The following is a 25,901-nucleotide window of genomic DNA, read 5'->3' as shown; positions in this document are numbered from 1 at the left end:
AATTGAAAGTATCTTTATGATATTCTAGCCTCTCATAAGCTTAAAATTTCTGTTATTTGGATTTTTATTTATTTTCCATATGTGCACATGTGATGATGGTAGAGTTTGGAGTAGGGACCCAGTAGACTGAAAAGTTGGAACAGTAACAAAATGTTTACCCTTAGCACTTAGTTATTATAACAAAAACTCTCTTTATTCATATCATGAACAATTATAATCAGTATGTCACATTGCTGATCAATATTCTTAATGAATTGGCAACTGACAAGTCCAAGTTTGTGGAAGTTGTGTTTATTTCCCGTCTTCCTCAGTGTATACATGATGCCGGCAGTTGGGTAACACAGTGAGAAGTAGACCAGGCCAACCTTAGCCATATTTACCATTTTCTGGATCATTGTTCCTCTCTGGTTGTCCTTCTCACACAGCCCATTGCTGTTTTCTAGCTCTGCCTTTTCACCCTAGAGACTTTCAATTTCCTACCACTTACCCAAATACTCCAATCTAGTACTGGCTTTTCTAGGAATGAAACAAGAATTACATGGTCATAAAATACTTGTACAAGCAAATGATGTTGTGAAACAAAAAGGGCTGAGAATTTCATGCTTTTTCCATGAAATCCAGGGGTTTTTTTTTTTACAACGTATCAGAAAATGACAAAAGTATATTTATGTCAATATATTTACAAATAATTGGATTTGCTGTGTCAGCACAGAAGTATGAGATGTTTTTGCCTGATTTAAATTGCAAGTACATTTCAGGATACAAATCACATAACACCTCAAGTTATTAATTTTTTTTTCATAAAATGAGATCATTGGACCTGAAAACTTCCTATTCATTTACCTTTAGTATGAGGTAAATCTAAACAGCTAACACATATTTACTTAATCTTATTTATTTGCAATAGATTGTGTCCATTTTAATCAACAGAAAATTGGAAAATATTATTTTAGAACTCAGACATGTAAGTTGAAGATATAACATTTCTGCCTGCATAATAAGTAAAATAATGATATATTTTAGCTTACCTTAAATATATATGTCTTACAATTTTTCATAGTTTAATAATTATATGGTCTGAAATTGCAATGCAACCCTAATGTTACATTATTACAGCAATTTAATATGACTTTTGTATTCAAAAAGAAGGATAATTAAAGGAGAGAAGAAACTTTCTGAATATTTTATCACATATGCTGGATTTATCTTTTTGTTTTTATTCAGGTTAGTACTATCAAATCAAATCTCGAGGAATTTAAAATTGACACTGCAGTTTCCTCCTCCATTTAACTATGTTCAATATATGTGTAGTTAAACTAAAAAAAAAAAAAAATGGCTAAGCTAAAGTTTTACAGAGATTTTCAAAGGACAAATAACCAAGGTTAAAAAAAGGGAGAAATAGGAAAATGAATTTCTTGACTGGAGAGCTTGTTAAATATGTGAGTTCCTGAAGGAGTTTGTAGAACTAGAGGATTTTAGAAAAATAAAATATTCTCCTAGCTACACTACAGGTGATGGTTTGGGTGAGATTATGACTAAAGGCAAAATAATAGATCTGATGAATATAAATGACATTTTCTAGCTCTGTGGGTTTAAGATTTATTTTGTAGGCTATGATAAAATCAGATTTAAAAGTCATACCTCATTATAAAATCCAGCTAGAGGAGGAATTTGATTTTGAGATATTTCTGAGCAAGAAAAATGAGAGGAAATTATTGTCTACTTCACGTTAACGCAGTCAGTCTCTACCATATACAAAACAAGAGTTTTAAATTCCAGTAACACTTGTGAAATATTGTGGGGAAAAAATATCGTGGCTACATACAAGTGTATGCAGCCAAGAGGGGGAAAAAAAAGAAAGTGGTAACAGAATTTCTCTTATGCAGAAAGACTCTCTGGGTTTAGCAAAATATTTTCATGGTCCACTTTGGTTTTAGAAAGCTAACAGACAGAATAATCCCTGTGGTCCAAGAATGAGGCAAGTACACAGATCACCAGGAAGACATTTGGATGAACTGCAAATCAGTCAGGGAACGGGTGGGAGAGTCTAAGTGGAAGAAAGGGGACCCAGAACCCGCATAGACCCAGGATCAGCGTATGTGTCCTGCTCGCCTTGTCCTCAGCATTCCCCTGCCCTTCCTTGAAATGTTCCAAGGCCTTCTCCAATGTCTGGGCCCTGCCATTACCTGCAGTTTTTTCATGCAGCCCTGTGACGACTGAGAAGGATCTGCATGGGTCCAAGGTCCTTTTCTCCCCTTTACAGCCTCTCTGGCACGCTCATAACCCCCTCAGTAGAGTCAGCCAGATGCCCAGAAGAGCTCCAGGCTCATCCCTATGGGGAGACATGAAGTCCTTTGGACAGCTGGGTTCCAGGGGGTGGCACAGGGAACCAGTCAGTCCACTAGTCAAGACTATATTATTCCACAGGATCGTAAGTGATGGGGATACTCCAAAATGGTGCTGACTGCTCATTTAGGTGACTCACAGTGCAGGGCTCTGGATTATTGACATTTCATCTCTTGATCTATGGATTGAGTGATGAGTTAGGGAGTGAAGGTGTGTGTTCACCATGATTGTATCTCTGGTCTCTGACACTGGAGGGCACAGGAGTAGCAGTAAGCATCCCTTACCCTGTGGGCCACCACTGCTGGCACCTGGGCAGTGACCTCACTACTGCTTCAGGCTCCTGATGACATATCTACCAGTTCTCCAAGGGTGGCTGCACCTATGTCCTCTGAGTTTTTGAGATCATTGCCGTAACACAAAAAAGCCCCAACATGTGACAGATATAGATAAGCGTCATACATTCTTTCTTTAGCCTCTCCGCTGGTAGTGGTAGACAGATATGTGGCCAACATTGAGAAAGACCAAATTCTAGAAATAGAATGATTGTGACCTAAAGAGTTCAAGAGAAAATACAGATGACAAATGTGTCGTTGAGATTTACTGCTATAAAATACAGAACATTATATTTAACATGATCTAAAACTGTACTATCATTCACATTTTTCTGCATAATCTTGGTGAGACTTTTATTTGTGGCCATCATCAACAAAGCACAATAGCAACCTCTGAAGGAGTCACTAGAGGCCAGTGTTCGTGGGTGGCACAATGCTTGATGCAGCGCCGTGCAAAATGATGAAGTCAAACATTTAAAAATATGCTTTTAAGGAACTGTAGAGGCGATAAGATCGCTACTGTTTTAGTACAAATCACTTCTACAGAGTGGTCACATATTATCACTACCTTTTTCTCATTGTGGTGGATATAAAGTCAGGCAGTGTGGTGAGCAGAATTCTAAAATGAACCCCAGTGACTCTTGCCCTTAAAATATCCCCTCCTCTTTGAGTGTGAGTGGAGCCTGTGAACACAGGAGATATTATTATTCCTACAATTATGTTACATTACATAGCAAAAGGGAGATTGTTATTGGTGGGCCTGACATAAACTGGTGAGCCCTTTATGTTGAGTGTTTTCTCTGGCTGGGTGCAGAAGAGGAAGTAAGGGAGATGTACCTGGTTGCCTTGGAAAAAAGCAGATATCCATGCTGTGACCTGTCTATGGAAGTCACATGGTACTGAACTCCAAGTGGCTTCTAGTGGCGTAGGGCCATCTATACCTAACATTTGTCAGTAAAACGGGAGCTCAGTCCTGTAACTGCAAGAACATAAATTCTGCGATTATACTGTGAGCTGGAAGAGGACCCCTAGCCCCAGATGAGAGCCATAGTCTCAGCCAACACCTTACTTTCAGCCCAGCCACAGCTTCAGCAGAGAACGAAGTCATAATGTGTCTGCAATTCTGACCTTTGGAAACAGAGATATAAACTTATGTTGTTTTAAGCTGATAAGTTTGCAACAGTTTGTTATACAGCAATAGAAAATAATATAGCCAGGAACAGCATAATTGATGAACTATGTGATGAAATGATTTATGGACCTGCATAAGAAGAGATAGTGCCTGGACATTACGACAAATCTTCAAGTGCATTGTTGGTACAATAAACAAATACCTATGGACCTCTTCTCTATCAGGATACACAGTCATCCATAAATCACCACACCTCATATGGACCATGATATTTTAAGACTTATTTTTTTAAAATCAGATTGTTCATACGGACAAGGTCTCTGCCAAAAATATTTGCTCAGAACTATGTACACCACAGAAGCAAACTATACCCTGTCCTTGTATTAATATTTCTTGTTCTGAGAATAAACCATATCATTAAGACATGATTTGAGTTTTCTGTTATTTGCAGCCCAAAGCATACTAAATAGGATACTTTTTATTGAAATATATTTAAAAGTTTTAATTTAGTAATTAAATAACAAATTGATATTATTTAAGTTAGAGCATCCTATATTGTTCAACTCTCAATTTTGCCAATATGAATATTCAATCTGTGATCAGCTGTACATTTTTCTGATTTTTCTTTTCATCAAGATTTTATGATTTTACTATTTATGATTTCATGGTATTAACATAGCCCCAAACATATAGAGTCATGAACAAATGTAATGACTGAATTGTTTGTGATGTCATGTAGGCATTTGCAGGGGTTGATGATATGTTTATGTATCATTTGAGACACTTTTAAAGAATTCCTCTTATATGGCCAAGGCATTGCATCTTTATTTCTTAAATTTACCAAATAGTTTCTTTGAATCAAGACCATGTAATTCAGACAATCTATTTCTGTTATTTTCTAAGGACAGTGGGGCCTGGTTAATTAGGCCATCATTATCAAAGATGGATACGTGAAAGAAAATGTCAAATTCTTGAAAACCAATTTTGATTCAGTTAGATTTCTAAAATAGTAAAAATGTAACAAAGGCTTTAGTTGCAATATAACTATGAAATTTCTATCTTTTTAAATATTCACAAGTTATTCTTAATAGCTTATTGTATCGGCTATTTTAACACTTCATATGTATCATTCTTTGTTTCATGAATAAATGAAAAACACACTGAAGCCCTTCAAATATTAAAATGCTCAACAGGCTGTAAAATATGATTTTTAAGTACTTACTCTTCACAAATGAGAATTTTAATGTGATATCCTTATACACATAAAATTTTAAACAATAAAATTCACATAGTAAAGAAATTCTAAATTCTGGTTTCAAAATACTCTCACCACAGCATGTCTCTTTCAGAGATATTTCTTGTTCACATATTGTTATAGTATTATTTATATACTGAATAAGACATGTTCAAATAAATTTGCTGCTTGCTGTACTTCTGACATCCTTTTGCCATCATAGGAAAAGTCTGCAAATATAGAAAACATTTTCTTTTTTTCAAAACAAAACATGTTACTGATATTCACATTTGACACATCTTGTAGATGCTCCATTGCAAACAGTCTCAGATTCCAGATCAAAACTGTGCATTTTTTCCCAGTTAAGTGACCATCAATATTTTTACCAATCTCTATTCCAATTGATGAATATTTGTTCATCAGCATCTTATTAGCTTATTTGTTAATTAACATGACAAGACATTCATTATCTCATCTATGAAATGCCTGGAGAATGTTTATGCATTTTTTATTATTAAAGAACTTATAGTTAATTCTAAAATATAACTGTGCTGTATCATAAATTCCCATCTATATTTTATTTTTTAATTTCTAAAAATTTGATTTAAATTCCATATTAATGAACTATCACCAGTGACCCTGCTAGAGCTTTTCCCCATTCTTATTATAAACAATATAATTTACTGGAAGATACGAAATCAGGCTTCCATCATTAGTGTTATATGTTGAATACTGTGCTAAGCAAAGGAATCTAATAAAAGGACCTTAACCCTTCTGAAGTCATAATCTGCTAAGGAACACAACACTTTCAGGTGCAGAGAAAAATAACAATGACACAAGTCAGCACTATTAAAATATTAGAAAATATTCGTTTAATGAGCGCTATTAGTGAAGCAGTTCCCAATCCTTTTAGCACCATTGACCGGTTTCATGGAAGACAATTTTTCCATGGATGGTGCGTGTGGCAGGAGGAACAGGTGAGGACGGTTTCAGGTTGAAACTGTTCCACCTCAGATCATCAGACATTAGATTCTCATAAGGAGTGTGCAACCTAGATCCCTCACATGTGCAATTCACAATAGGGTTCATGCTCCTACGAGAATCTAATGTTGCTGCTGATCTGACAGGCGGCAGAGCTCAGGTGGTTATGCTCACTTGTTAGCCCAGTTCCTAACAGGCCACAGACCGGTACCAGGTGGCAGCCCAGGGGTTGGCCACCCCTGCATTAGCATATTAGAAAATAAGTGGTATGTGTTGATAAATGAATGAGTGCACAGATATAATCAGAAATAACTATCTGACAAATAGGGTTTGGAAGTAGCCTTTAAATATGAAGAGTGAAGAAATGCAGAGGAATAGAAGGGCCATTTCACAAGGTCAGGGTCGCATATTGAGGAACTAGACCTGTAAATGCAGATAGTAGACTGTGGACAGTGAGTGGGCCACTGAAAAGTGTATATCTGTTGCTAGTAATACAACAAATTCAAGCAGGGTCAAAAGTTGTAACTTGTAGGTTCTCTAATGATATGCTGGTTTAGAGATTAGCCATTCCAAAACCTTGAAATGCTTACACTTTGCACCCACAGAGGTGCCTCATGATATATAGTAGCAACAAAATAATGTTCAGGGAGGTTTTATTGCAGAAGCAAATTAATGCTAATGAAACAAACGTCATAAGTATCAGACTGAACTATTTAAAAAGCTTAACTGAGCTCATGACTCAACCTTCAACATTATCAAAATGTTTTATCACAGAATAGCAAATATGTGTTTCATTTGTTTTACAAGTGGAGAGTTGCTTTAAGCTGGCTTGTTCACTCTGACAATACAGAAGATAATTCAATATGTAACCAATATGCCAACTTGCTGTATGTTCCCAAGTTCTCCAGGTTGCTTGCTTGTGTCACCTTTTCCTTTATTATTTAAGTAAAATTTGCTTAAATCAGCTCTCCATAAATGGTGGGGGTGGAGGGAATACTTTGTTTCCCATTCCCCTAGAAGTCCCTGGTTATATGGATGAAGGATCATCTGCATATATTTCTCCTGACCTCAACCTCTAAATTCATACCTGCGCTTCTTTATCTGTCTTCTGGATTTTTTTTTTCTTCTGCACCTACAGTCCATTTTCTAAATGATATCATTCCCCAGAAGTCAACTTCTCCATAGTGTCACTTCCCACAAGCCAACTCTGCTCAGGGATCTGGACCCAAGGCTGTGTGTTTACCAGACTTTACTCAACTTTTAGGCAACAGAGGAATTTTACAAAAGAGTTTGGCAAAGTGGCAGTCTCATATTAAACTGTAAAGAATGTGTTCTTAAAATTTCCTCAAACTTTTCTGCCTCTAGGAAATTTTCCCTGATCAACTCTTCAAGTTCCAACCTCCCATCCACATCACTACTGCTATTAATCATACTAATCAGTGCACCAGGCTAGTAGAAAGAGTAATAATAGCCAATAATTACTAAGCACTCTATGTGAATTATTAGTTTTTGCACTATTCCAATGACGTAAGTACTATTATATCTCCATTTTGAAGACAGGAAAAATGAAATACAAAGAGGTTAATTTGTCTAGAATCTCACAGCAGTGGAGTATGAAGTGGAAATTAGAAAGCAGATTCCAGATCATATGATTTTATTGATCATGCAGTGCAATTTTCATATTTCTGGGCAGGACTGACCCAAATGTATGTGGACTATAAGCAAATTTTATATATATACATAATCTGATTTTTTAAAGATGTATTAAAATTTGCATGAACCCATGTGAAATAAAGTGATTTACATTACATTAAACATTATTTATTTATTTATCTATCTATTTATTTTGAGATAGGGTCTCACTCTGTTGCTCAGTCTAGAGTGTGGTGGCAAGATCTTGGCTCAACCTCTGCCTCCCAGGTTCAATCGATTCTCCCACCTCAGCATCCTGAGTAGCTGGGACTACAGGCATGCGCCACCATGCCCAGGTACGTTTTTGTATTTTTTGGTAGAGATGGGGTTTCACCACGTTGGCTAGGCTGGTCTCGAACTCCTGACCTCAAATGATCTGCTGGCCTCAGCCTCCCAAAGTGCTGAGATTACAGTCATGAGCCACTGTGCCTGGCCTTAAAGAGGATTTAAATTAATGGGTAGGAAAGGGGTATTCATGCATTTGATAATTGTCCCATCAGTGAACAGAAAGATTCTTTGTAGCGTTCTAACTCATCTTTTCTTATTCAGGCCAACGGATCATCATTTCATATTATATATTGTCAAATGTCCCATTTCTTGCTAATTTCATAAGTCTCACCTTGAAAAATTGGTATTAATACTGTGACTTCACATAATAACATGGCTTTTCTCAGCCTGTTGGAATGGAAACAATACAGAACTTTTGGTCTCTGCACCTTCCTCAAATCATTTATTGAATGCCGCCTTCATCATTCCTCATCAAGCAGTGATCACTCATTGTGCCGCAATCTGTGAAAATTAAAATAACTTTCTAACTCAGTACAATGCAGATATGCAGCAGACTCTTAGTTATGCTCCCAGCTAACAGTATTTAACCCTACAATCCTTCGCTACAGCCAATAACTAGCCCCAGGTCCAGAGGAGAATCATGATGGGTGGTTCCGTTCCAGTCATTAGGGATTAGACAGTTCATGCCATTCTACATACTAGAATGTGAGTATGTGTTGTGTGGAGCCGCTGCAGCCCTCTTACATCCATGAGGCACACTGGAAAAACACTAGGAATGATAGAGCAGAAAGGTGAAATGGAGTCAGGTAATTAATGATATCACTGGGCCCATGAATTAACCAATAGAAAAGTCATCCTTCCCAGGATCATTCTTCTTGTTACCTTCTTTTTTTTTTTTTCTTTTTGTAGAGGTGGGGATCTCACTTTCTTGCCCAGGCTGGTATCCAGTTCCTGGCTTCAAGCCATCCTCCCGCCTCAGCCTCCAAAAATATATTCTTGTTACTTGAATAAATAAATCTCCTTACTATTTTATACAACTGTTATTTCTTCCATAACTTCATACCCAAAATCATCTTCATTGTTAAAAGACACCAATAAGAAGACTTACTCCCATTACTGAAATTTTATATGAATGGCATCTTAATAATTAATTAATTAATGGACCAAATTATAGACAGAGTAAAACACGGTGATTGATTTAAGACTTTTATAATTTATGTAATCATATAAACTTATTATTTATGAAATTATATGTATCATTTATTCACTCAAAATCCATTAAACATAGCACATGTACTATGTTATACATTATTTGTAACTACCATAAATAATAAAGGGTTAAAGAAGAAATTGTCTCTACTCAAAACCATGATAAAGTGAGGTTGTAAAATTATAGCAAAGAAGTACTTGAGCTGTGGGTAACCTTGGTCTCAAGACTGGTAATGCAAGAAACTTGTACATTTATTCTTAGCAAATGTATTCCTTTCAATCTGTCGACATGCAGTTGTTTGATTGAACTGAATATTCAGTCAATTTATTTTTTAGATAGCATATATCTACTTACTTGACACATGGGAAATCTATAAGGAGCTTTTGAAGAATAACAAAGAATAAACCTTCTAAAGTAAAAAATTAAAATTACCAGAGACTATCCTGATAAATATAGGAATAAAGGAAAATGAAAGCAAAATAAGATTGAACCTACACAGTAGTTCAGGAAATTCTCAATTACATCTAAAATTCAGTACTGGTGATATTATTACCTATGATTCCAGAGATCTGAGTTAGAGTCTTGTAAAGATTGTGTGACTGGCCTTGATCAAATGATCACTTCTCAAGCTAGTCTCAATTTTATTCTTCAATCAGATTAAACAATTAGAATGCTGAGAAGTGATTGGCCATTTGGAAAATTGTCTTTCACTGAGGAAAAGTGATATAAAATAGTAAACAGCACCCACTTGAGTGTTTTGAAGGAACACCCTTGGGGACAAATATCTCTACATCATTAGGTGCTCCCTGGAGATATTTCTCCCAGGTATTAGTCTTAGGAAAACAAGCAAGCAAGCACACAAGCAATCAAATGACAAACTTGGTTTCCCCTGAGCCAGTGGTTTCTCTTCAGTTTAGATAAATTAAAATCTCAAAATCAAGCATGCCAAGAAAATAAAGAGCTGCATTGCAGCCCCTAGCTCTTTATCTTTGAACAATGACAATAAAATGCTACTGGCTATAATTTTACCTCTTCTTTCATAGGCCTTTTTTTTCTATACCCCAATACCCTCATGTAAAGAATCTAAACTCATGTGCTATATCTATTTTTGCTAGTACTTGTGAGTTCAGGGAACATAGGTGCCTGAGTTTCCCAAATTATAAATTGAGAAAATGTGCATAGATGAGTTAAAAATCTTTGAATTTTTAAATTTCTATTTATCTAGGTTTTTTCTTTCAGTTAATTTGATGCTAGTAAGTTGTGACATATACTCATTGATACTGATATTTCAAAAAAATGCCACAGTATCTCTAGACTTAAAAATATCATCAGTTGAAGAATACTCTTTGAAATAAAAATATTAGTAGTACTTATCCGAACTTGCCTTTAATAAATGTGATTTAAAAATATTCAGTTAGAAATATCATCGGTATGCATATATTTTATTAGTGTAGGTTTTTCCTTGCTATTTCACCATAATGTACTTATTTTTCTAAATATAGTGATGTTTTATAAAAGATAATAATTACAATGTGACATGTTCTGATTTTTCTAATGGGACACTTTTAAAGAATTATTTAGGCCCGGGCAATTTAATTTTCTTAATCATGTTCAGATATCAGTGATGCATATAATACTTATCTGTCTCTTATAAAGTTAAAGGAAAATGTGTTCTAGAATATGTTCCATGTGGATAAAATATAATGACCCTGAAATAAAACACAGACAAACAAAGCCAAATGCAAGAGATTTTTTCATAAAAAATATACTTCAAAAGAGTATGTAACAGATTATCTTCTACATCGTTATTCTTTGATATCTCATGAAACTCAATTCGCATGTAAATATCAAGCTTCATACAATAGTGAAATACATTTGACTACTGTTTAAATGTAAAAATTTAAATAGAGTATTTCTAATCTATTCAGGCTTTAAATGATAGGACTGAGCAAAAGAATTAGAAAGAACTAGTGGTTTATGTAACACACATTCTCATGCTTTTGAAGGGATGCTTTTTTTCTCTTAGACCAAAGCAGGAGCAGTGATTAGTTTAGGTTCAGGGAAATCGGACCATCTGCAACATCCCTATTACACAGATATTCCCCCTTGTCTGTGGCTAAAACTCTCAGGCAAGCTTTGGCATGAGAATCTATTTCATTTTGCTATAACCATATTTTCTTTTTTTAATTTGCTAATTAGTCTACTACCTAAATTTCCACTTAATTATCATGAAAATAATGTGGAATAACTTGTAGAATATTTTGTATAGGCTTCTCATAGTCTTCTCAATTTCAACTATTTTAAGATTTTAATTATTCTGATTTTAAAATAATTTGCAGTTATTTGTGTGATTACTTGTGTAATTTTTAAAAGTTACTTACACCAGAAAAATATAAGCACTGTTGTTATTTTGATGTTTTTCTAATATTAATATGCATATATCATAGGAAGTATTTAAATGAATTTTAATTTCCCTTTTCAATCATCTCCCATTGAAAGCTGAATCATGAGGATACCATCTCCAAGCAGGTGGAGTATTTGATCCCTTTAGCAAGGCAGTGATTTTGAAATTCGGGTTTAGACAAAAAGATATTTCAAGCTCCTGAAGAACAAGTTTGAAGGATTCAGAGCAGAGAATTGCACCCTGGCATGATGCCTATGCCAGCTGGACTGTGTGATTTTTGTTCTTTAGTAGAAGGATAACATGACATAGCAGGAATAATACTGCCTTTTCTTTCTGGCATGGATCAAGAGAAAAGAAAATACAAGAAAACAGACAGAAGGTAAGTGGCCAAAATTTTTATTTCTGCTCTTGGTTTGGTGTTTGATAATTCGAGCTGAGGAAGAAAGCAGAGTGGTTTTGACTATACAGTGCAGTCGAATACAGGGAAGAGATAACTTTTCATGCTAGTCCTGCACAGAAGCCGTGGTGTCAACAGCTTGCGGTTCAGAGCTGGTCGAAGGCTGTAGCAGAAATTCAGGAGTTTGTGAGCAAGGGACAGTTAAGAGCTGCAGGGCCTGTTTTTATAAATGAAATTTACCGGGATGCAGCCACATCCATCATTTTATGCAGCTGCCTTTGAGCTTCAAGGGCGGAGTTAATTTTTTTTGCAACAGAAGCCATTTGCCTGCAAGTCTAAAATTAATTACTCTCTAGACCTTTAAGAAAAAGTTTCTAACCTCTATTCTAGAGCTTTGACAGGGCACAAGGTAAGGTCCAATATAGCAGTCCTGAGCAAGCCTAGAAAGAACAGGTCATACATTAAACCACCTCCAAAAACTGCCAGAAATGGGAGAGGTATTCTTGGAGCAGACTGTGCCTGAGAAGCAGTGAAGTATGACAGAGGTTCCCGCTGGCTTCCTGGGGCCAACGGTGCACATCTCTTCTCAACAATTGCATATTGGAAGTTTTAGAAGTGATCATAAGAGTATTTACACCATGGAAACTGGCAAATGCGACAAGTCAGATTTTTATTTGTTTGCCTGTTTTTCAGAGAGACAATTTTGAATCATTTAGTAGCACACAACTGCTCAGAAAATCAAAGAGGAGGTAGGGCTCACAGTGTTGACGGTTGTACAAGGCTCTCAATGATATCCCAAAACCCATCTTAGAGAAGTGCTAGAGGAAGGGCAGAAATTCAACTGAGTAAGCATTTTTATTTAAAAATAATAAGAATTACTTATGGCTTTATTACCCAAGCCTAGTTTTTAAAACAGATGTTTAAACGTCATTGATTTAGCTAATTGTTCATTTATGTGTTTCTGTTACCCTGCAACTGGGCTCCTGAGCCAAACCAAATCAGTTAATGAACTTGTTTCTATCCATAGGATTTTAGTAATAGAACATTACCAAATGCATAGTGTTCATGTGTGAATATACATTAAATTTTATTAAATGGGAAATATACACAGATTTTATGCTCTTTTTAAAGCTTAAATACAACTACTGTCTTCTATAATATTAAATACTCTTAAAAGACCATTAATTTAACAATAAATCCATAAATTTTCTCTTTTTTCTTTTTATAGTTTTAGCAAGATTCTCCCTCCTACCTCCCTGTTCCCAACATTTAAGATATGTATACAAGAAGAAATTAGGGGAATTTACTACCGTCCATAAACTGGGGGCTTTCCAACTTTAATTCTTCTTCTTTTTTTTTTTTTTTTTTTTTGAGACAGAGTCTAGCTCTGTTGCCCAGGCTGGAGTGCAGTGGCGCGATCTCGGCTCACTGCAAGCTCTGCCTCCCGGGTTCACACCATTCTCCTGCCTCAGCCTCCCGCGTAGCTGGGACTACAGGTGGCCGCGACCACGCCCGGCTCCAACTTTAATTCTTAATGGATCAATTTTATAGTTTCTCTTTAATACATTGATGTAAATTCGCCTTTGCAGCACACAATACACACACTTCCAGGACTTTAAGGATCCCTTTGGGGAAAAAGTTCTGTATTCACAAGTTGACAAACTTAATAAAGATAATAATACAGATTTGAAAAGCAAAAATGTAGATTTTGAAAACATGGAGATTGAGTTCATAACGTAAAACACATATTTGTAAAGTGTTTAAATATAAGGGAAATCACAGACAATATGGCAATCATCTGAAAGGTAATTCAGATACAGTTGCAAAAAAAAAGAAAAAATAAGTTCTTCAGAAGAACAAAGGGTAATATCGCAGTCAAAAAGTAATACATTGAGGAATTTTTCTGCTAGCTGAATGTTGTATTTTTAAACCTGTGTTTAAAGTTCTGTTGATGAAGTGGCATTTGAATTTCTCATCGTATTTTCACACTGGGGATGGATAGCTTTAATTCAATTATTTTTAATTGAAGGGCATTGGAATTCATTAAAATATTAAAAAATGAAGGTTTCCAAAGTATTACAAAAAGTGAATATTCTATTACTAGGCTTGTCTTGGTGGAGATTATCAGCCACCTGGAGATAAGGCTCTTTTCCACCTAGGGATGATGAGAAAAGCTCTAATAACGCATTCTCCAAAATGCTGCACACTAATTATTCTATAATTCCGTAATTCATTTTTTCAAATACAAGTTGTATATACATGATATCTGGCTCCGTAAACAAATTTACCTCCCAATTATTTAATTTTAAAACCACAATTTTTGCATTTTTTAAAAAACTTCTAAATCCCTCCTTACAATTTTGACTTAAATTTCCGTAGTTCCACAGTTCCACATGGCTGCGGAGACCTCATAATCATGACGGAAGATGAAAGGCACATCTCACATGGCAGCAGACAAGATGAGAGAGCTTGTGAGGGAATCTCCCCTTTTTAAAACCATCAAATCTTATGAGACATATTCACTATCACCAGAATAGCATGGGAAAGACCTGCCCCCATGATTCAATGACCTCCCACCAGGTTCTTCCCACAACAAGTGGGAATTGTGGGAATTACAATTTATGATGAGATTTGGGTGAGGGCACAGCCAAACCATATCAGATAGATTATATATGGCTTATGCATTTTATACCGCTTTCTCCTACAAACCTAATACATCATGCTGCATATTTTTAAAATAAGACATGCAATATAAACATTAAGTATCATCTTGACAAATACCAATCAAAACCTTGCATTTTCCTACTGGGATCGAGGAGATAATCTTAATGTAATTTAGAATCCCACATAGTTAACAAAAACAAAGGCACGCAAAGTTAGGCTTTGAGGTTTTGCTTAAAATCTTCTTACTAATGTTTCAAAAACTTAGAATTTTCTTCGTATGGCTCTGTAATTTAACCCACTATATAGTAAATGTTTTCTTGGAAGTCTCCCAAACAGAAGACTCTTAAACCTTGATATCAATGACCATCATTCTAATGTAACAAGCTTACAACTTTAAATTCTGTGACATTCTAAATTCTTCAAAAATAACACAAATCCTCTCTTTGTAAATGAGATCACCCAACAAGTTAATAGGGAATCAAACATTTTAAAATTCTCTGCATCCATTAAATGCCCCTTTGTTAAACTTCATCTGCATTTCAAACATAATATTTATTTTACTTCTTTGCAGCTGTTATACTCTGGGCATAAGACGGAGAGTAGTCCAGGAAAGGGGCAATGTCTATATTTTTGCCAAGACATTTTATTCATTACAGAGGAGTTTTTGTTTTTGTTTTGGTATCTATGGTTACTTCTCTGAATTTTTTTCTCTCTCTCTTTCATGTTTTCTCCTACAGTTTCTTATTAATATTTTCACTCTCCACATGTGAGGGGATCAATTCATGATGATGTGTCTTTTATAATCCCCATCTTCTGCAAAAGACAGTGTTCCCATCTGTTCATAAAATTTGTTCAGATTTTTGCTTCGATTAGGAGGGTGGGGATGGTTTCAGGATGAAACTCTTCCACCTTAGATCATCAGACATTATTAAAAGATTAGCATAAGGAGCACACAATCCAGATTCCTCGCATGTACAGTTCACAATAGGATTCGCACTCCTGTGAGAATCTAATGCTGCCACTGATCGGACAGGAGACAGAGTTCAGGCAGTAATACTCGCAGCTCACCTCCTGCTGTGTGGTCCATGGCCTAGGGATTTGGGACCCCTGTCTTAGGTGATTCAGGATATATAGTATTCCAGGAGCTGGAAAAGTGGAGATGACGGTTAATCTCTTGGGGTTATCAGTTCTACCACTTGACATAGATTAAGAGATTAAACATGTTTAACTTAAGCTGAGCATGGTAAAGTTTTTTTCCTAAACTTTAGACAGCAGAGCATACACAGAAAGTCCATAAAACAGAGGGATCAAGTTAGAGCACATAAGAAAAAATTGCCTCGCTCTCTCTCCCATGTTCTCCTGCTCTCCTTCTCTATTCTGGACTATCACTCATTCTCTCTCATTGTCGGTCTATCTATCTTTTGGTCTATCTCCGAAAGAGAGGTTAGGGTAAAAGAGAGACTAGGCAGAGAAACAGACTGAATCTATGATCCCTATTTGAAAGTGACAAAATCTTTTCTGAATAGAAGACAATGCAGAAATAGAACTTTGTGGCCGGGTGTGGTGGCTCACAGCTGTAATCCCAGCACTTTGGGAGGCCGAGGCTGGTGAATCATGAGGTCAAGAGATAGAGACCATGCTGGCCAACATGGTGAAATCCCATCTGTACTAAAAATACAGAAATTAGCCGGGCATGGTGGCATGCACCTCTAGTCCCAGCTACTTAGGAAGCTGAGGCAGGAGAATCACTTGAACCTGGGAGGTGGGGTTGCAGTGAACAGAGATCGCGCCACTGCACTCCAGCCTGCGTGACAGAGTGAGACTCCATCTAAAAAATGAACGAACGAACGAAAGAAAGAAAGAGAGAGAGAGAGAAAGAAAGAGAATTTTGCAATGAAATCTTTTGGCTGGTAAGAAGAGATAAGGATGAAGACTGAAAGGGAGATGTCTACCAAGCAATCATACAATTTGAACACTTCCTTCTTCCTATAGCCTACCTCCTCTGTCCAAAGATTCACACTTTTGCTGATACTGCCAAGAATTTGCCAAACTCTTGCTAAAAAAGACTACAGATCAGATGTTTTTGGAACATGGATTTTGTCATTTACTTAAGATACAGAAAGTGCTGATGGGATTAATCACCAGCTGGAAGCATAAGATTACCACTGGCAATTATGATGAGTGTAAACATTTTAAACAAAATTCTCCTGTGTTTGGAACTTACTCCATATCAAAGTTTTAGCTGCATTAAAAATTCCTTATGCAAATACCTTCTACATACATCTTCATAATGCCTCTAAATATTTCTGTAAGTGAGATTATTAAAGGTAGAGAGGCAAACTGCATGTGAGCTCTTGAGACAGACACCATGGTGTTGAAATCTGGCTCTAATACATATCAACTGTGAGCCCAGAGTTCATTTACTTAACCCCTCAGTAACCCAGTTTTCTCATCTGTAGAAGAGAAACAAAAATAACTAGTTTATAGACTTGTAAGATTATACAGGTTAATATTTACAAAGCATGTAGAGTAGTATTTTGACCACCGTATTAATAAGTCAAAAGCATATTTTAATATTTTAATATATGTGTTACTGAAACATGTTCCAGAAACTAGTTGAGGTAGTGCTACCTTTTTAACAAATTTAAAAAAAATTTTTCCTAGATTTTTGAGACAACCTGTCTGTCACTCAGGCTGGAGTGCAGTGGTGTGATCATAGCACACTACAGCTTCAGACTCCTGGGCTCAAGTGGTCCTCCTACCTCAGACTCCTGAGTAGCTAGGACTACAGGTGTGTGCCACCACACTAGGGTAATTATTAAATTTTTTGTAAAGACAGGGTCTCACTGTGTTGCCCAGGTTGGTCTCAAACTCTTGGCCTCGAGCTATTTTCCTGCCTTGGCCTCCCAAGTGCTGAGATTACAGTGATAGTTGTAATTGGTTTCAACATGCTAAATATGAAGGACCAATTTTTAACATCCTTAACACCCCTTATATATTCATGTTTATTCTCCTTTTACAATATGATAGAAAATATAATCATGTTCAAATTTGTAATTTTTGGTTTTAGTAGTTTTTCTTTCATAATTTATTCTTTACACATATTTTTTTCATTTGCAGTACTATGTATTGTAAAGTTGTCAAAATAAAAATAGAGGTACAAATATTCTTTATTCTTTTAATTTATTTTCTTTTTTAATTTCCAACTTTTAAGTTCAGGGGTACATGTGCAGAATGTGCAGGTTTGTTACATGGGTAAACATGTGCCATGGGGGTTTACTGCACAGGTCATCCCATCACCTAGGTATTAAGCCCAGCATCCATTAGCTATTCTTCCTGATGCTCTCCCTCCTTCCACTCCCTGACCTCTGACAGGCCCTGGAGTGTGTTGCTCTCCCCATGTGTCCATGTGTTCTCATCATTCAGTGCCCACTTATAGGTGAGGACACATGGTATTTGGTTTTCTGTTCCTGCATTAGTGTGCTAAGGATAATGGCGCCCAACTGCATCCGTGTCCCTGCAAAGGACATGATCTCATTCCCTTTTATGGCTGCATAGTATTCCATGGTGTATTTGTACCACATTTTCTTTATCCTTTCTATCATTGATGGGCTTTTTGGTTGATTCCATGCCTTTGCTATTGTGAATAGTGCTGCAATGAACGTACATGTGCAGGTGTCTTTATAATAGAATTATTTATATTCCTTTGGGTATATATCCAGTAATGGGATTGCTGGATTGAATGGTATTTCTGCCTCTAGATATTTGCGGAATCGCCACACTGTCTTCCACAATGGTTGAGCTAATTCACACTCCTACAAACAGTTTAAAATCATTCATTTTTCTCCACAACCTCACCAGCATCTGTTATTTTTTGACTTTCTAATAATGGCCATTCTGACTGGTGTGAGGTGGTATCTCATTGTGGTTTTGGTTTACATGTCTCTGCTCTTTGCCCCTTTATGGGAAAATTATGTGGGTTTTTAAAAACAAATTATTCTGTAAAGCTCTTTGACTTTAGCAATAATATACAATCACTCATGAAATAAATGGCAAATATTTTTGGAGCATTTTTCTTTTAAATCTTTTTATCATGTCATTAAACCATATATATATATAGATATATATATTTTCATTTGTGATCTCTCTTTTCATTTGTGATTTCACTTTTATCATTAGACATATTCTGATCTCAACATCAAAAATATATTCATTTGAATCTATTTTATGGCTTCAGGTTATTCAATTAATTATGCTAATCTCTCTGGAATCTGTGCAATAATAAGATATGAGATTAGAGCATACCTTAATTGTTTCCTAATTAAACAATTATCACAACCTCTCTGATATTTTATTTAATCATTATCATTTGTTTCTATCTTATCATGACTGTATCACTATCAATTCAATAACATTTCTGAAGGTAAAATAAAACTTCTTAACATTATTCTATCTTTGTAGAATATAATTTGATTTCTGAAAAGGATAATTTTTTTTCCTCATTCCTTTTTCTTTCCTTTTACTTTCATACTCCTTTCCTTACAAGGACATAGGCATGTGTCCTAATCCTGTCCATCTTACGACCTAAAGTTCAGTGTTCTGGAAGATTTCTGAAAAGATTTACATTCCTGATTAACAACAACAACAACAAAGGCAGAGAGAGAGAAGCAGACAGAGATCCACATTCTTAAATATTGGATTTGACTTAATTTTATGAGTATAGTATGCCAGGTCTACAGGATAGCTGTCCTGTGAACAGGAGAATAGTATGAAGCTGCCCCAGAATCCTGGAATTGTTGAGAAGCTGAAATATCTAACCCTTAAACCCCCTACTATAGACATCTTTTAATATTGGATAATTAAAACCAATAAAATATATCCAGCTTTTAAGAACATCCTAGCTGGTTTATTTACTGATTTTATTAAACTGACATGTCTTTATTGAGTCAACATTTGATTTAAATTTTCCCCTGATTTCTACCAAGTAAAGGCCAACATTCTTAGGTCAACATCAGGTTCTCTCTCTTATTTCCAGCCTAATTTCTGGCTATTTTTTTTGTGGAGTTGCATATTCAGATTTACCTCCTTTTCATTCCATATAGTTTTATTAGTCATCCAAATAGCCATTTCTAGCAGGGACATCCTTCCTACTCATTCCTTCCTATTGAAATTCTCTCTAGTCTTCAAGAACAGTCATGCATTCCAATAATTTGTGAACATACTTATCACAGCATAACTGAAATACAATTGTTATATTATAGAACATAACGGGGGTCCACTTGCTTAGCACAGTAAAACCAGGTATCTGTATGGAGTTTTGCAGCAAAAGAAGGAAAGGCATTTATTGCAAGGAACCCAGCAAGGAGGACCAGGCAGCTAAGTGCTCAAATCCTAACCTTCCCAATGGCTTGCAGGCAAGTGTTTTTAAAGGCAGTTATAAGTTTTAGGAAAGCAGAAGCTACAGGCAAAATAGTAAATCAGTACATGGAGATTACACACTGGTTTAGGCCTAAAAGGGCAGGATATCTTGAAGCAGGGATGGTGGTGCTTACAGGTCGTAGACAGATTCTAAGATTTGCTGATTTGCAATTAGTTAAGGAAGAGAAGTTTTGTTTAAAAATTTGGGGTCAGTAGAAAAACATTAACTGCCTGGGGGTGAGGAGTGATTTCTCCAATTCCCTCAGGAAGAAATTTAGAGAAAAAGACAATAGTTAAAGTTCATCTTCACTTCGCCCTTATCTGTGCCCGTGAATCCCTTTGGTGAAGGTCCTCATTGGGGGTCCAAGTTTCTGAAAGACAAGTCAGGGACATATGTTAAGATGCTATCCTTCGTTTCTATGAGGAAAGCAAGTATCTCCAGAACTCTAACTTCCTTGGCTATTGTTTTAAGCTACTATTACCTTCTTGTTTAACAAGTTACTTATTTAGTTCTGGGGCTAGCTTGGTACCTGAAGTTATCCTTAAGGAACTCAGGATTTTCTTTTATTTCCATGCTTTGGGGGCTTCAGGTTCCTCAAAAGGGGGTCCTTGCTCTATCTCACAATGTCTCTTTACCCTGAACACCAGCAACATCTGGCTTCCATCATTCAAATGACAATTTCACACAAGAGGACTAAAACCATTACACACAGACACTGTTTGCTGTCTAAACTAACATGAATTTACTACTCTACTGCCTGCAATTGACAAGAATTTAATTGTCCAAAAGTTTTTAACCCAGGAAGATGAAGATGTTGCAGGGGCCAAGGGAAAGCTTCCCCTTTGCCCTCTGAAGGTTCACTGAAAATGAACTGACGACAGACAGAGATTTATAAGAGAAAGGGAATACAGATTGATTTACTATGCAGAGCATGAGAAAATCACAGAAGAATGGTTATTCAATAACCCAGTGAGCTCCAGATGCTTTTGCACTCTCCTTCATAGGGCAAGAGGAGATAGGTGAGGCATGTAGGCATCAATGATTTTCAGGGGAAATGAATAAGCCCAAAGAACAATGACATGAGACAAAATATTTCTCAGCACTGAAGGAGGTGGCAGGTAGGTGAGGGGCTAAACTTCACTGGGAACAAAGGTTTTCTTATTATGCAGATAAAGCCTCCCAGGTAATCTGTCAGTGAGATGCTCCAAGAAGAATAGATACAAATATGTCTGGGAATGGTGAAAACTCCTAGTCTTCTCTTCTTCTGTGGGTAATCTTTCCTAGTTATTTGATGAGATCCCTAGAGAGGTGATGTTAAGGCAATAGCATTTTTTTTGGAAAGAAGTTTTCTTAAAGAAATTCCAAGAAGGGTTTATCTTGCTGCTTCCATAAAGAAGATCAGAGAGACAGGGAGGTAGGGGAAGGTCAGAGAGAGACCTCGAAACTGCTTGTTTAGCTCAGCATGTCAAAGTGTCACACTTGTGAGTATTGTTTTCTGAGCCAGCACTGTAATAACTTTATGATTTGCTTAAAAACTTCCTGACTGTCCATTTATCTGAACAATAGACAAGTCTACTTTACCTCCTCAGAACAACATATCCTCAAATCAGCTGAATAAACAAATCTTTACAGTTCCAAATTTACTTAGAGCTGTTCTTTCATTGTGCCTATGAATTCTAAAATGTCATATAACAAACTTTGCCCAGTTCCAAACAGGCCCTGTGCGTTGGAAACTCTGGGGAAATATAAGTAAAACAAAATCATCTCTCAACTTAGAATTTCTTTCTTCTTTTTTTTTTTTTTGGACAGAGTCTTGCTCTGTCACCCAGGCTGCAGTGCAGTGGTGCAATCTCAGCTCACTGCAAGCTCCACCTCCTGGGTTAATGCCATTCTCCTGCCTCAGCCTCCCGAGTAGCTGGGACTACAGGCACCTGCCACCACACCCAGCTAATTTTTTGTATTTTTAGTAGAGACAGGGTTTCACCGTGTTAGCCAGGATGGTCTCGATCTCCTGACCTTATGATCGGCCCGCCTTGGCCTCCCAAAGTGCTGGGATTACAGGCATGAGCCACCGTGCCCAGCCAGAATTCCTTTCTTCAAAGGTAGTAGGGAAAGACACAACTTTTATTATTGAATAAGCATTGAACAAGAATGTGATGTGCATTACAGACAATCCATTAAAAGATTTCAAAGACAAAAAGAAATCTCACCCTTTTATATAGTCAAGAACACACATATCATTATATACACATACTCCTTGACTTCTAATGGGGTTACGTTCCAATAATTCATCATATGTTGGAAACATTATAAGTCGAAAATGCACTTAATACAGCTAACCTGTTAGCAGTGGTGAATCTGTATGGGTCTGCAGCAATCTCAATTCTTGTATCCTCAGAAGGAAGAATTCCACTGAGGGGCACGGGCAGAGTGAAAGATGTAGGCAAGTTTTAGAGCAGGAGTGAAAGTTTATTAAAAAGCTTTAGAGCAGGAATGAAAGGAAGTAAAGTACACTTGGAAGAGGGCCAAGTGGACAATTGAGAGATCGAGTGCAGTTTGACCTTTGACTTGGGGTCTTGTACATTGGTAATCTGTATACGTAGTGGCCTTCCAGCACTTGGGAGGAGCCGCATGTGCAGTATATTAACTGGAGTTGGACGCATGCTCACTTGCGGCATTCTTCCCTTACTAGTCAAGTAGAAGAAGGCCATATACCAGTTAAATGCCGCCATGTTGCTTCTTAGTGCACATGTTTGAGCCCACTCACCCAGCTCCTGATATCTCATCAGAAAGCTGCTGATTACTAGTTTTAGGTGTTTCTATCTTTTGGGAGACTGCCTTTCCCTGGTTCCAGCTGTGACCAATTATTATGTTAGTGAGATCATGTAACAACCACCTGACCATCACCTGATGGTCATTTGACATTCCTGTTTGGTGTTTGGGGGGACCTCTCCTGCCACACTTATGTCTGACTAGCTACCTACTGAATCATAGCCTAGCCTAACCTACCTTAAACATGCTCATAAAACATACATTAGGCTACAGACAAAACATTTTATGACAAAGCCAACTTTATAATAAAGTGTTGCATATCTCATGCAATTTATTAAATACTGCAGTGAAAGTGAAAAACAGAATGTTTGTATGAGTATTCACCATTAATATACACATAGTAAAGTCAAAAAATTGTCAGTTGAACTGTTGTAAGTCAGAGAACGTTTCTACATGTTTCAAGATAAACAATAACTAGTTCTGAAATCAGAGAACTTGACAGCATGATTTGTCACACAGAGTTCTTCTTGACTTTACTTGATAATTGGGGTGACCTTTAGATAAGAAGAAACAAACTTTTCATATCTTCATGACAAGAGGTAGTTTTGCAACTTGGAACAAGGTGCCCACTAAAGATATTCTCCTAACTTTCCACAGAAGCTGGGAGAAGGTGGTGCTACCTTTCAAAGAGACGGTTCTTGGTCCTTTAGAAATACAAACCTAGATCACAAAGCTGACAAAATGCCAATCTGGTCTTCAAAATGATATATATATACATTTCAAAGAGGGAAGTAATTACTTAAAATTACATGTTTTATAAACAAAATACTCAAAGTAAAAGGAGGGAAGGGAAATTTCTTTCCTTATTTTCAACATGGAAGATTATGCCTCTTACTTTTAAATTGTGTCTGTCCTTAGAAAAGACTCATCTTAAATGAGATCTTCCATATCTTTTGAATATACTACCATTGATGTGTCCCATCTGCAACTTTACTAAGATGGTCAAGGTAGTGGTTTCCCCTATTGCAGAAGGAGTCAATTTGAATTTGATTTATACGCTGGTTATTTTGATGGTATTTTTAGCATCAACTGCTGGAAATAAACAACTACTATCTTATATTAATTTTTGAAACTATCATATACCCTCTAGTAGACTGTAAGATCCTATAAGGTAGAAAGTATTTTTTTGTAAATTTATATTTTATTTTAATTTTCTCTTGTGGTTAACATACCCTATACTCACTTGACAATCAGTGAATAAACAAACTTTCTTTAGTAGTCACAACAATGCTGTGTCTATATTTTGTGATGTGAATAGGATAAAATTAACTGACTCTGTGGTAGACAATTTGTAATTATCTTTCATTGCTCTGAACACAATTTAATCATAAATACAAACAAAATAGTGTCTCTCATTTAGTGCAAACTGAGAAAAATGACTGAAACAATCAATTACAACATATCTTCCATAAATTAGTATTATTTTTTCATATCTGCAGTAAAATACATGCAAATTGCCTGATTTAACAGACAGGAATTACTAGATTTCTTAATGTACTTTTCAAATTACTTTTCACTCATTATGCATCCTTTCTAGTTCTTGACTGGTTCTTCATTTTCTAAAAGAATATGCTTTTTATAAAGCACTTCAGAGATGCATAAGTCTGCATTCCTCTGAAAATGACCTCCCAGAAGAGATGTTTTGGAGAGATGTCAAGCCATTTTCATTCCTAATTAACCCCCTACCCAGGCATTGTTACAGTTTCTCAATCATCATAAATACCACAGATCTCTTCTTTTCTTTAAACATGCCAGAGAGCAAGGGGTCACGCTGTTACTAGACAAAAGCAAGATGCTAATACAAAGTTAGCCATGACCTTTATCCTTTATCAGAGTCATCAAGCAGTAGTTACTTCAAGATCACAGATGAAATAGCAATGCTCAAAGTGGTAATAAAAACTATGTTCCAATTAGAAAAAAAAGGGTAGTACAATTTTTTATTTGATACTTTCACTTAACTTGCAGGAAGCTTACTGAAATTGCTCAAGAACAGGTTAGGAAGTTTATTTGACCTATGCATTGCAATTATCATATATTCCAAGATAGGCAATTAGAGTGGGCTAGTAAAGAGTTTGCATTCAATGAAAATATCACTCTTAAATGAAATAAGGCATTTACTTAATTCCAAAAATACTTGGCAGAGTTAGTCACATGTTTTTTGCCTATGTGCTAGACGTTCTCCTGAGTCATGTTTGATTTTGTAATTCTAAAATTTAGCAACCTTTCCATTTCAGCCAGAAACCTTTTCTTCAACTTAGGTAACTACTTCCAGATGAATTAATGATGCCTGCAATTCTTCCCAGATATTAAAAAATAGGAAGAAATTGACAAGCATACTATGCTTTATTATATTGTTAAACATAAATAAACAAATTAATTACGATTAAAATATAAACATTAGGAAGATGTACTGTCTATGCTCAGAAAGAGAATGATCCCTTGTCTCTTCATTATAAGGGTCACAGCCAATGCTTCTCTAACAAAAGTCAGGTTAACAACAGAAAAGCATAACAAATTTATTAACGTGTATAAACATGATGGCCATATAAAAAAGTTGCAAACTCAGGGAAGGACCAGATAATTGACACTTAAATACCCTTTTCATTGAGGTGAGGAAAGTGGGGAGATTGTAAATGAATGAACCAAAAGACTAGACAATGGTTTGTAAACAATTTCTCTTTGGATGCTGAATGGGGCCAAAGGACAAATAGCAGCTTCAGACAAGTTACAGGAATGTGAGGGGCAGAACTACATTGTGAACCAAGGTTATCTTATTATGCAGATACATTCTTCCAGGTAATCTCTAGGAATTACCCTCAGAAAAATAGAGGAAAAGCCTATCTGGTCATGATGATAATTTCCAGTTTCTTCTCTTCACCACTGGTTAACCTTTTCTGGTTATTTGATGAGATACATAGGAAGAGGTCTTAAGAAAATTGCATTTCTTTTGGAAAGAAGTTTCCTCAGTCA

The 25,901-nt window shown here is 36.2% G+C and overlaps 1 long non-coding RNA gene across 4 annotated transcripts in view, besides 2 other annotated features; it reads left to right on the top strand.

Moving 5' to 3' along the window:
* Nucleotides 1-11,884: 11,884 nt before the first annotated feature.
* Nucleotides 11,885-25,901, top strand: part of LINC00320 (long intergenic non-protein coding RNA 320) — a 60,519-nt gene continuing 46,502 nt past the window's right edge. For all 4 annotated transcript variants that reach the window (NR_109786.1, NR_109787.1, NR_024090.2 and 1 more), the window contains exon 1: nucleotides 11,885-11,998. This is a non-coding gene — a long non-coding RNA (long intergenic non-protein coding RNA 320). The remainder of the gene's footprint in view (nucleotides 11,999-25,901) is intronic.
* Nucleotides 24,113-24,625: an enhancer, noted in NCBI's record as "OCT4-NANOG hESC enhancer chr21:22162686-22163198 (GRCh37/hg19 assembly coordinates)". NCBI's record gives its function as "activates a minimal SCP1, AML or CMV promoter by ChIP-STARR-seq in naive and primed H9 embryonic stem cells {active_cell/tissue: H9 hESC(naive and primed)}" and the evidence as "EXISTENCE:reporter gene assay evidence [ECO:0000049][PMID:30033119]".
* Nucleotides 24,626-25,139: an enhancer, noted in NCBI's record as "OCT4-NANOG hESC enhancer chr21:22162172-22162685 (GRCh37/hg19 assembly coordinates)". NCBI's record gives its function as "activates a minimal SCP1, AML or CMV promoter by ChIP-STARR-seq in naive and primed H9 embryonic stem cells {active_cell/tissue: H9 hESC(naive and primed)}" and the evidence as "EXISTENCE:reporter gene assay evidence [ECO:0000049][PMID:30033119]".

The sequence above is a fragment of the Homo sapiens genome, chromosome 21 (assembly GCF_000001405.40).
Source record: "Homo sapiens chromosome 21, GRCh38.p14 Primary Assembly".
Taxonomy (NCBI): Eukaryota; Metazoa; Chordata; class Mammalia; order Primates; family Hominidae; genus Homo; species Homo sapiens.
Note: the sequence above shows the minus strand (reverse complement) of the source record. Positions and strands in the feature narration are given on the sequence as shown.